The sequence below is a fragment of the Homo sapiens genome, chromosome 3 (assembly GCF_000001405.40).
Source record: "Homo sapiens chromosome 3, GRCh38.p14 Primary Assembly".
Classification (NCBI taxonomy): Eukaryota; Metazoa; Chordata; class Mammalia; order Primates; family Hominidae; genus Homo; species Homo sapiens.
This window is the reverse complement of record NC_000003.12, coordinates 2725677-2738645: the sequence shown is the minus strand read 5'-3', so window position 1 is coordinate 2738645 and position 12969 is coordinate 2725677. Positions and strand designations below refer to the sequence as shown.

The 12969-nt window shown below is 40.0% G+C and overlaps 1 protein-coding gene across 37 annotated transcripts in view; it reads right to left on the bottom strand.

Annotated features, from left to right (window-relative positions):
• CNTN4 (contactin 4) overlaps positions 1–12969 on the bottom strand; it is a 959094-nt gene that overhangs the window by 319314 nt on the left and 626811 nt on the right. For all 37 annotated transcript variants that reach the window (XM_017005783.2, NM_001350095.2, XM_047447536.1 and 34 more), the window contains one exon: positions 2305–2431. In XM_017005783.2, coding sequence (XP_016861272.1) covers positions 2305–2431 — 127 coding nt within the window. The remainder of the gene's footprint in view (positions 1–2304; positions 2432–12969) is intronic.

Sequence of the window (12969 nt, the reverse complement as noted above, 5' to 3'; positions counted from 1 at the left end):
AACTTTTCTTTTTATCTTCACAAGACAGTATTCTTTTTATTATTTTTATTGTTCTGTGCAATAAATTTTTTTGTGGAATTACTAACATTTACCATTTGCTTTACTTATTTATTCTTGTAGCTCAGCTCTTCTATCTGGAATCATTTCTCTTCCACCTCAAGTATGTCTTTTAAAATTTCCTTTAGTGAGGGTCTGCTGGAGTCAGATTTTGGTTGCCGTCTGCCTAAAAATGTAGTTATTTTGTTTTGCTTTAAAAGAAGTATTTAGGCTATCCATACATTTGACAGTTTCTCTCACTGTACTGAATATTTTATCTTCTGTCTCCTGATTTTTTGTTGCTATTGAGAAGTCAGCTGCCAGTTTGTGATCTCTTTGAATGTCATCTGTATTACAAGTTTGGTTACTTTTATGATAATCTGTTTGACTCGGTGTTCTACCATTTCACTATTTTAGATGTGGCTTCATTTTTATTTGTACTGCTTGAAGTGCATTGGGCTTCCTATAGCTACGGCTTGAAAGTTTCAATTAGTTTGGAAAATTCTTAGCCTTCTCTTTAAATATTGCTTCTGCCTCAGTCTTTCTTGATGCTTCTTCTGGAATCCTGAGTAGACATTTTTTCTCTCTTTCTTTTTAAAGTATTTTGCTTCCCTTTGTCTCTTTCTGCTGCCTCTGGAGGATTTCTTCAGACCTATCTTGCAGTTTACAAATTCTTTTCGGTTGTATTTCATCTGCTACTAGAACCACTAAGGTTTAATGTTTGAAAGACACAATTACCTGTGCTTTTGAGTCTCTTTGGAAGTCAAGCTTATTTCTTGTTCACATTTACTGTAAAGATGTAGCCCTTGTATCCCAGGTTTATTCTGGGAGATGTTCTCATGTTGGATTCTCCTGTGGGTTGTCTAGGCTTTGTCTTGTGACCTCTGTTCTCTGAAGCCATGAAAACCAAAGCTCAATTCATACTTGTAGTTTATTAACATGAAAACTGTCTTTATTGTTCAGCTTACTTCTTTCGGTTCCAAACCCACTTACTTGTAGACTTCTGACATTTCTTACTTTCCTGCCAGTTTACTGATATAGTTTAAAATATGTTTATTAAGTTAAATATATGTGGTTATGAATTGTTAATGTTTTCAAAGAGAAAGTCAATCAGGATATTTAATTCCCAGCACTACGAAAAACAGAGGTTGGGTACTTAGCTTTTCAGGAAACAATCATCTCCTTAGACTTTCAGGATATCTATGATGCCTGTCTAAAAGCTCTTTACGGGCTGGGCGTGGTGGTTCATGCCTGTAATCCCAGCACTTTGGGAGGCCGAGGCGGGCAGATCACTTGAGGTCAGGAATACGAGACCAGTTTGGCCAACATGGTGAAACCCCATCTCTACTGAAAATACCAAAATTAGCTGGGCATGGTGGTGCAAACCTATAATCCCAGCTACTCAGGAGGCTGAGGTGCCAGAGTCCCTTTAACCCGGGAGGGGGAGGTTGTAGTGAGCCAAGACTGAGCCAATCCACTTCAGCCTGGGTGACAGAGGGAGACCCTGTCTCGAAAAATAAAAATATGGCTGGGCACAGTGGCTCATGCTTGTAATCCCAGCACTTTAGAAGGCTCAGGCTAGCAGATCTCTTGAGGTCAGGAATTCAAGATCAGCCTGGTCAACATGATGAAATCCTGTCTCTGCTAAAAATACAAAGATTAGCTGGGCATGGTGGCACACATCTGTAATCCTAGCTACTCAGGAGGCTGAGGCAGGAGAATCACTTGAACCTGGGAGGCAGAGGTTGCAGTGAGCAGTGGTCGCACACTGCACTCCTGACAGAGCGAGACTCCGTCTCTAAATAAATAAATAAATAAATAAATAAATAAATAAATAAAAGCTCTTGGTCCGGGTGTGGTGGCTCACGCCTGTAATCCCAGCACTTTGGGAGGCTGAAGCAGGTGGATCACCTGAGGTTGGGAGTTCAAGACCAGCCTGACCAACACAGAGAAACCCTGTCTTTACTAAAAATGCAAAATTAGCCGGGCGTGGTGGTGCATGCCTGTAATTCCAGCTACTCGGGAGGCTGAGGCAGGAGAATCGCTTGAACCTGGGAGGCGGAGGTTGTGGTGAGCTGAGATCACACCATTACACTCCAGCCTGGGCAACAAGAGCAAAACTCGGTCCCAAAAATATAAATATATAAAATAAAATAAAATAAAATAAATAAATAAAAGCTCTTTATGTAACCAGCATTGTATAAGTATTTGTTGATTTTAATAACAGAAACTATATGCATGGAAACACATGCTTTTACATCAACAAACCTGATATGAGGTTTTGGATTTCCTTTAACTTCACAATTGAGCTTCACTTTTTTCTCCTCAGAATCCAAAGGGAACATTACAGGACTTGGTTCTTGAATAAAAATCGGGCCATGCAGTGTGGAATCATCTGAAATGAGAAGAGAAAATGTCCAAAATGAAGAATCCCTTCCAAATAGGAACAACAACAGGAAACAACAACATAAGGAAAATAATAGAAAGAAATTAACAAAAAATAGTAAGGCACAACAGGCTGTGTTTCAGCTTCTAGAAGAAAATTTCCCATTGAAGGTTAATCTTCTGTGGATTATGATGAAGTGAAAATATAAGCCCTCTTATTTCACATTGGTCACTAATTTTACTAACAACTTCCAGGCGCAGGCTGCTTGACGTCTCCCTTTCTCTCTTCTATGTATTGTTCTGCTTGTCTTTAGCCTACCCCTTTACTTTGTGCTTCCCGTATCCCTTTTGTGCTACTGTCATTGTGGATGGCTGTCTAGTGTCATAAAGCTAACATTTTTTTCTGTGCTGTAATGAGATGATAAAATTAGAAAGAAGCAAGGACGATACTGTAAATAAGTCAATAATGAGTAACAGCTCCGTATTGCTAATATACACAACACTTCCTCAAAATGACTATGTATGCAAATAAAGAACAACCTACAGTCTTTATTCTCACATTATCTGCAGCGAAGGACTAGGTTCTTTGTTTTCCCAACGTCTTATGAAGCCATATATGGTCTACCTTGCATAAATGTCACATAGCCTGTACCACAGATGACTCAGTAACGCCCAAACTGGTCTATAACAGGTGCAATGATTTGAGTCCACTGATTATGTGCTTGGATGGTGAAGCCATGTTAAACAGCCATGCATTTCTAAGTGCTTTCTCTCAATAAGAGAAACTGGATGCATGAGACTTATTTTGTCACGGAGCAGTAACAAAGTTCAAAGACTGGAATGATCCACAAACCATACCTTAAGTGGCAGTGTCGAGTACACATGCTTCTAGACTATGCACACAATAAATATTGTTCAAAATGCATCTCGCCGCTTACGCCCATGGAAGTGATTTTCGTTTTTCAAAATCAAGTTCAAATTCTTTTTCCTGGAAGACTCTGCTAGACCCTCAACCTTTTTCTTTAATATAATTTTAAAACTATATTTCCCAAGACGCTTATCTTTTTCTACTAAGTGCACCTAACATAGAGTACACTTTATTTTCCCTTGTTTGGATTATAAGCTCTTTGAAAGCATGACTGTATCTTACCTATTTTTGTATCTCTTGTGGTACCAAGTACAGTGGTATATATAACACACGGTGATCAATAAGAATCTGCTTTACTTTGAAGTATTTTTTTCAATTTTTAATGTATTCAATTAGCTTACTTAGGCACTGCCTGATGAGTTTTAAGATAGAATCACCAGAGGCTATGATGTAAAGTTATATTAAATATCACCCTGCAACTGGCAGTCCCCTTATATGTGATTATTTTGAAGGGCAAGAATTGCAACTGCTATCCTGGAAAAACTTCATAACCAGCCTTTTGTTGATAGGTGATAGGATGAGACTGAATTCATTCAGGTGCATCAGTGCTGAGAAAAAAGAATAAAGTTGGTTTGGGGATCTAGGTGAAGCCTGGTAAGGTAATTTCTAAGGCATTTAACATTTAACTCAGACAAAAAAAAAAAAAAAGCACTTCATGCTAAGGTTGAAATAGAAGAAAAGTTAAGAAGACAAAATGACCAAACAGAATTCTATCTTATTACTGGGGACTGAGGACGGCCCACGATCTTGTTGTGAGAAAGAGATGGGTGAGGATTCAGAAAGACCATGGACTGAGTTTCAATGCCTTGGGTCAAATACTAACTCCAGGACCTCAGGAAAATCACCTAGTCTCTACATGCCTGAAGTGTTTCATCTATAAATCAATAAGATTAGACTAGGCCAGTGATTCTTTATCAGTTAAAAATGGGAAAACAGGCTGGGCATCGTGGCTCAAGCCTGGAATCCCAGCACTCTGGGAGGCTGAGGCGTGGAGGATTGCTTGAGCCCAGGGGTTCAAGACAAACCTGAGCAACACAGGGAGACCCTATCTCTACCAAAAATTAAAAAATTAGCTGGGCTTGGTGGCATGCGCCTCTAGTCCCAGCTACTCAGGAAGCTGAGGTGGGAGGATGGCTTGATCTGGGGGGATCAAGGCTGCAGTGAGCCATGATCATTGCCAGCAGGCTCCAGCTTGGATAACAAACCAAGACGCTATCTCAAAACAAAACAAAACAACAAAAAACAAAGACAGGGAAAACAGCCAGGAATATTTTCCCATAAACACACATGTACCTACACATTTAATTTGCATTCAAAGATGTCATGAATCATATCACCACTACCACTGTCTCTCCTTACTCCATTTATAAAATACCACATCAATAAAAAGTTAAAACAACCAAAAAAGAGAAGATTTATGAAAGCACACAAAATAAAATCATGGAATAAAAGTACGCAGACATGGCCAGGCGCGGTGGCTCACACCTGTAATCCCAGCACTTTGGGAGGCCGAGGTGGGTGGATCATGAGGTCAGGCATTTGAGACCAGCCTGGCCAACATAGTGAAACCCCATCACTACTAAAAATTCAAAAAAATTAGCCGGGCATGGTGGCGTGTGCCTGTAATCCCAGCCACTCGGGAGGCTGAAGCAGGAGAATCTCTTGAACCTGGGAGGCGGAGTCTCCAGTGAACCGAGATCACACCACTGAACTCCAGCCCAGGCGATGCTGTGAGACTCTGTCTCAAAAAAAAAAAAAAAAAAACACAAACATGCACTTTAAAAAAAAAATTTGTGTTTAAAGTTGGATATTTCAAAATCCAGATATTTACATTTCAATTTCAGATTTTTAACAATTACACAGATATTTTCAAAACATATTTAAGTACTGGTCAAATGTGAGCTCACTTCAATGGTAAAGAATTAAGTGATTTTTGGCACATCTAGGTAAATGAAACATGTTATTCGTCAAGATCACTAATAAAGCAACAAGTTTGGTGGATTTTCTCTAAGAGAGAAATATTTCCATTGTTGTCCCCAATTCCAAAATTATGTGTGTGTATATATAATATCAATCATCTCAATTCATTGGTGTTCCCTGATTTGAATTTCATACAGAAATATAGAGTCTATTACTAGTTATTCCACATAAGAATAAAACGTAATAATGATTACTCAGGATGCAGCTGAGAGACTGTGGATTAACATCTGTACTGTTTCTCAATGTAGCCATGCAATATTTAAATAACAAAAAGATATTTTTTCTGTGTATTTTGTAACAAGAATTGATAATAATGATGCTTTGCATTCACTATAAATAATGCATTCCATCTAAAGTTTTTATTTTCTCATAGTTAACCAAGCTCACTGCCTGAAAATTAACATTAGCATAAAGGGAATAGTATTTCAGTTCTCATCGAAGGAAATCCACAGGCTTTTGTGCACGAGCTATTTGGGCTCACAAAGATGAAGGGAGAAATTTTAGAAAGTTTAGCTATCAAGGTATTAAAAAAAACCCAGATATCCTAGCTTTTAAACCTTCGGACCAGGGTTAACAATGTTTTTGAGAAAAAAGAGCTGCTTTATTTCACCAAAACCTTGAGGTGCCTGGGTGAGACAAAGAGTCCTGAGAGAGGCGTTCTGAGATGAAACAGGGGGAGAGGCATCCCTAAGTTTGTTCTATCTCTGTGTGGCAGCCACAAAGTGACTTTCAAGTGTCTTGAAGGCACATACAAAAGACTGCATTTACCGTTTTCAAAGCCTAGAAGATAAAGTTCATCTTTTTTTTTTTTTTATCACAGTAAGTTGTTCTATGTAACCAGAAGAGTGGCTGTGATTTTCAGTCTAAAGAGGTAAAGAGCATCGCAGCAAATGACAGAGGACAAGATTTAATAATACAATGCGTCTCCGAGTTAGACTGTAGACCACCTGCATTATTATCATGCCATGCTTGTTTTATCAAACCTCAGTCCAGACTGACTACGCCAGAAGAATCTGGGGTGCATTAATCTGCCCTTTAACCTAGCTCTCTGGGTGATTCTTCTGCACACTGAAGTTTGAGAACTACTAACACAGATCCTTCTATTCCTGGCTCTCCATTTCCTAAGAACAGAACATCGGCCAACACCGGTTTTAGACCCACTCCTAGACACATTTTTTTGGGGGCAAAGTCTAACCAACAAATCTTTGCTTGATAAGATTTAGAGAGGTAATTTTAGCACATGCCTGCCTGGACTAATAGTTGAGAGGGAAGCATCCAGGAACAGAAAGTTATAAAACTGACTCACATGAATGTGTCAAGGCCTAGGACTGACATAAACTAACTCTTTCTTAGAACACTTGTAGTTGAACTCCAGAAGCTAATTGTGAGACACCACCCTCCCCAACAAGCACTGCACTGAATTGACAAAGAGCAGGCATCCTTAGAGATCACAATAGTCCACTGACCTATAGTTATAGTTTGTCTTCATTTGTATACATAGCATTTATACTGTAACCACTACCATTTATTTATAAGTAATGAATGTCTTCTTATTTGAGTGACAGGATGTTGGGATTAATGTTTTTACACTTGGGTCCCCAAAAGGGTGAGAGTCGCCCCAGGGCATCATCTGCCTTGGAGAAATTAGGGGCATGGGCTCACATTATTAGAGGAGGGGAAGGCAATGATTTTCCACCCTTCTAGGAATTCCTAAAAATCATGTTAAGAGGAGGAATGAGGAATGAGGGAGTGAGCAGTAAGATTGCCAAGAGCTCACCTACAGTCTTGTGGATTCCAGACCATTGATCTGACACACAGCTTGGAGGATCTAGTGCAGGCACCAATACTGTTACATCATGATTTCATGATTTCCTGAGTTTGTTTCTCCTTGGTAACTAGGTACCTGCCAATCAGTCACTAGGCTAACTTCTATCAGACTACCAGTGTTCTGCAAAGTTCCATACCACGGTAATTATCTTGAATTAGGATGGATAAACCCATCTTCATAAAGGGAAGGGAGAAGACTAGGCTGAAAAAATCTGCTTTCATGCTTCAACAAGGAGTGGGAAATCTTTGGATTATCAGAAAAAAGCACAGATTTCATGACCAGAAACAAGGGTCCCAGAAGTAAAACATAGTGTCTCTGGGCTAATCTGAAATTTTTGGATTACTGAAAGAGATGCACAGAATCATAGAATTTTCCATTAGAAAATATTATTTAATATTATTTTCCTAGGTTACAGAATAAAAATGACCACATCTGTAATGGAAACAAAATATTTTTTGACTTAAAAAAAAAAACCCTCTAAGAAAAAGAGTAATAAAGCACCTCTCCGCAGCCGGGTGTCACTTAATTTATTTGCTGTATTGGAACATCAATGATCTCTATTTTTTTTTCTTTTAATTAATTTGGCCCACTTCCACATTTTCCTGAACTTCCCTCCCAGGCAAGCAGGATACTACTCAGGCTGCTGGAAGCGAGGCTGGGCAAGAGAATCTGAATGGATGGGGCTGGGCTGAGGCTGAGCAGAGAAAAATAAGCCTGAATCTCAGGTGATGGTTAACTCAAGGAAGTGAGGCAGATGCCCAAATATCAAGCCCACAGGAGCAAGTACAGAACAAAATCTGGATTCCAAGGGAAAGGTCAAAAAAAGATAACACGCATAAAGCAGGAAGCTAGAGGGTGGGTGGAGCTAGGAAAATTCCACTGATGCTAAATGTAGTTTTTTGGTTTTTATTTTTATTTTTACAGGGCATCTGTGAACAATCCTAGGAGCTGGACCAAGTCAGGCAGTAGATCTAATCTCAAAATAAACATTTCATAGAAAGCAACATAGTAAAAAGGTAAGTCAAACTATACCTAAAATAATTATTTCTCAAAGTGTGTCAAGAAACCTCCCGGCTGAAACAGGTGAGCATCCCTCATCCAAAAATCCAAAATCTGAAATGTTCCAAAATCCAAAACTTTTTGAGTGCCAACATGAGATAGTGACACCTGTGCTAGATGATTCAAAGTATAAACTTTGTTTCATGCACAAAATTATTTAAAACATTGTATAAATCACCTTCAGGCTATAGGTATAAGGTATATATGAAACATTAATGATTTTCATGTTTAGACTTGGGTGTCATCCTGAGGATATCTCATTATATATATGCAAATATTCCAAAATCCACTGCCACCCCCCACAAAAAACCAAAGTCTGAAACACCTCCAGTCTCAAGCATTTTAGATAAGGGATACTGAACCTCTATGACCTTAGCTAAGAGTGCTTGTTAACAGGTAGATTCTTGAGTCCCTCCCAGACCTACTGGATTCTAATTATCAGGACTCAGAAAACAGCATTTGAGCAAGCATCTCTTGATCTTTATGCATTCTAAAGTTTATTTTATTTTATTTTTTGAGATGGGGTCTCCCTCTGTCACTCAGGCTGGAGTACAGTGGCTTGATCTCTGCTCACTGCAACCTCCGCCTCCCAGGTTCAAGCGATTCTCCTGCCTCAGCCTTCTTAGTAGCTGGTATTACAGGCGCGTGCCAACACACCTGGCTAATTTTTTTTGTTTTTAGTAGAGACGGGGTTTCAGCATGTTGGTCAGGCCGGTCTCGAACTCCTGACCTTGTGATCCGCCTGCCTTCGCATCCCAAAGTGCCGGGATTACAGGCATGAGCCACTGCTCCTGGCCTATGCATTCTAAAGTTTTAAAACTAGTTATGAATTGAGCACAGACAACTTTCATTTTTCTTTTCTCTTCTTTTTTTTTTTTTTTTTTTTGAGATGGAGTCTCACTCTGTTGCCCAGGCTGGAGAGCAGTGGCACGATCTCGGCTCACTGCAACCTCCACCTCCCAGGTTTGAGCGATTCTCCTGCTTAGCCTCCCGAGTAGCTGGAAATACAGGCGCCTGCCACCACGCCCGGCTAATTTTTTGTTAATTTTGTGTTAGCCGGGATGGTCTCAATCTCCTGACCTCGTGATCCGCCCGCCTTGGCCTCCCAAAGTGCTAGGATTACAGGCGTGAGCCACCGCGCCCGGCCACTTTCATTTCTAAACAGGTTAGGATCCCAGTGAAGAAAAACTACCCTGCAGAGTTCTGTTCTATGTGCTAGATCACTCTGCGGCTACTCCGTGGGATGAAGGCCACATTTCGCCGCATGACCCTTAGAACAGCACCCTTTTCTTTTGCTGGAAGTATTTCCATCTGTTGCAAATTCAACTGACTCTGTTGGGAAAGAACAAAAATGCAATATTATGATTTCATCTTAGAAAACTACAAATTCCAGGTTCAAGTCTACTTGTCATTGCTGTGGTGTTCCCAGGTGTTGCACCTGAAACTTGTTTAAGCCCTTAATCCTAATGGCAGGTATGAAGTGCTGCCATAACAGCCAAGAACCCAGCACTGTGATATACAGTCAATCTTCCCATGACATCAAATGGGCTATTTGATTAAACACCTGGTCTTGGGTAGAAACACTTCAAGAGCAACAATTTTCACTTGGGAAGTAAACTCTAGGACACCTAATGGGGAACACAAGGGCTTGAATAGAAGCTTAGAATACCAGCCAGGGAAGACTGCATGGGTTTAGATATGAGTTGTACCTGGGTCACATCTGGAGGGTAGGTAGCTTTTTGCGTTATGCATGCACAGAAGTAACCTGGTGCAAACCAGAGTGGCTTTGCCTATATCCTGCAGAGCCCTTGACCAATCAAGAGAGTAAATGCTCCGTGTGTGTAATCAGTGGGAACGTGTTGCTTTATCAGATTGCAGAACAAAGTCACCAGGGAAAAGGAAGGGGAAGTTCTGCTAAGCTGGGTTGTTGGGTGTGCTCTCAGTGTCCTGCTCATATTTCACTTTCTCCCTCACCACTCACACCAAGGGGGAACCCAATGGGAAGAACCATTACTCTTTCCACCACCAGCATGTTCCAAGAAGGGCACACGTAGGGCACACTGTGTCCTGCTGGCTGTGAACCTTCTCCTCCAGGCTTCCTAATGATTAGGGAAATGCATTTTGGCTAAAAAACTGTAAGATCAGCAGCATCTCTGTGGATCTAAATTACTCATAAAACGTATGGGCAATAACCTAAGGAAATTCACAAACAAATGAAATACTGTAAGAGTGATTTTCCTGAGTGCAAGAATTCCTTTAAAATTCAATCACTGATTGTAGAAATGATGATTGGACAGCTGTCACACTATCATTACTAATACAATTTAGTGTTGTTAGTATTTATAAGACAGACAGCAAGGCATGTTCAAAGGCCTTACCCAAGTGCCTACTTGAAAAACTGGCCAACACACAGCGTTTCTATTGAATAAGTATTCTATTTGGTTGTTCAGCTGAATAGAGCAGAGGCAAAGCAAATATTAGAGGAGACAGACATGCCTGCTTAAAGGATAAACATTACTTTCATTTGTCATTGCTTCCGCCTTCCTTCTTTTAACCCCTCAAATGAGCATTTTAAACAGCAAGAAACAGAGAAGTCTACCGACAGCTGGTGTATGTCTGAAGGCACAAAGTGAAAAAAATCCAAATGAGAAGTGAACTCTTCTCAGACGATTTCTTTGTTCTCTTGTTAACAAAATAATGCTGCCGCCATCATGCATTTGTCCCACACATAATGAAGCCCTAATCGTTTGTAATGCCAGATCTTAGAAACAGTGGTAGGACGGGGAAGTGCTGGGAGCTAAAAAGGGTCTCTCCTTGGGGAAAAATTGTGCATTGCTCGAGGATTTTTAGGCGTGGAAAAGAACAGCCGTGGGGCTGTATCAATGTATCCTACTCTGACCCTGATCTTAAACCTTGACACATTCCAGGAACAATGGATTAATGACTCTTTTAAAAATAAGTAATTGGGTGATACTGACGCCAAGCCCTAGTTATGACAAGAAAGAAGCATTTCCAACAAATGCAAATACTTTGTAACTCATTTGGAGGCAAAAACTGACCTGAACTGATGGGAACTGATGGGAGACTATTTATAGACTCAATGTGAATATTCATATGCTTTGCTGCAGAATTAGAAATGCGTTTGATTATGCAGTGCTGACCCAGACTCAGCTGGGGATGCTATTATGTAACACTGGGCATGTTTTGTGGGCTATATTTCTCTTCTAAAATTACAAACATTTTAAATTCTCAAACATTTCTGACCCAAATGGCTTCTGATCCGAGTTTCTGGGACTAGATTGGATTCCAATTCCAATATTACATGGAGGCGACATAACCGTGTGCAAAGCAGACATTGTCCTGCCCTCATGGAATGTTTACTCTAGAGAGGACTAATAATAGTTATAGCTAACTTCATCTTTTTAATTAATAGAACTTTATTTTTTCAGAGCAGTTTGAGGTTTACAGAAAAATGGAGCAGAGCACAGAGAGTTTGCCTACACTCCTTCTCCACACAGTTTCCCGTATTGTTAACATCTTGCATTCCTGTGCTGTATTTGTTACAATCGATAAGCCAATATGAATGCATGCATATTAACTAAAGCCCACAGTTCACATCAGGGTCCATCACGTATTGCACATGCTGTGGTCCTGGCAAATGTATTAGGACATGGATCCACCATTACAATATCACACAGAGTAGTGTACTACCCTAACAACCCAGCGCTCCACTGCAGCAAACTTTCCGATTTATATTTAGGTGCATTACTGTTTACTCATGAGAATAAAAGCATAGAAACATACATGTATAAAATTGATTGGCTTTAGCTAGAGAAATGTAAATGAGATATCAGGGTCACTAATTCACTCAATGGTGCTTCCCTACTGGCATAACTATGTAGTAGACATCTGTGATTTTTGCCTCAGTATCCACTGCTCCTCATTAGGTAAGAGCATTCTACTCTTTCTTTGGTGAACCAACCCTCCTACTCTTTCAACTCAAGTGGTTTGGATAGACTAAAATCCTCTGCACAGGTCAGGAGTAGCAGATGACACTGCTTAGCATTGATAAGTTATTAATACTTATTTATACATTATCAATTGGCCTGACCAATTAATATTCCATTTTCTTGGTTAAATTGGTTCCCATGCATGGGTGACCAAAGCCTGGCTAATGAGACTCCATTGCAGGACTTTTCATAAAACTACAAGGAAAAAACCCTTTTGTAGTCTAGAATTGCTTACAGAAGGAAGCCTGGAGCTTCCAAAGACTCCCACATAGAGAGAGAGAACCTAAAAAGAGAATGAAGCCAAAACAGAAAAGAGCAAAATTAAAGGATAGGGACAGACTGAGTTCTGATGGCATCGTTTCAGCTCTGGAACAAGTTCCGTCCCAAGCAAGCTTTATCCCTAAGATTCTCAGATATGAGAGCTAATGATTGCCTTCATTTAAGCAAATCTGAGTTGCAGTTGTTATCAGCTGTACCTAAGAAACTCCTGATCAACACTATATGCATAGAAAGGTACACACCAATTTATTCAGTGAGTTATTTCTTCATGTCATTGGTCTTCGTTCTATTCTTATTTCTTTTTGACATTTCTCCAAATGTACTTGTGTGTGTGTGAATACATACAAGTAAGACTGGTCTTCAGCAATGTGGCAGGCAAAAGCCTTCTCTCTGTGGACTTACTGTTCATTTTTGTGTCTGTACTTCAACCTGAACACCACCGGGATCAACTACTCCCTAAAAAT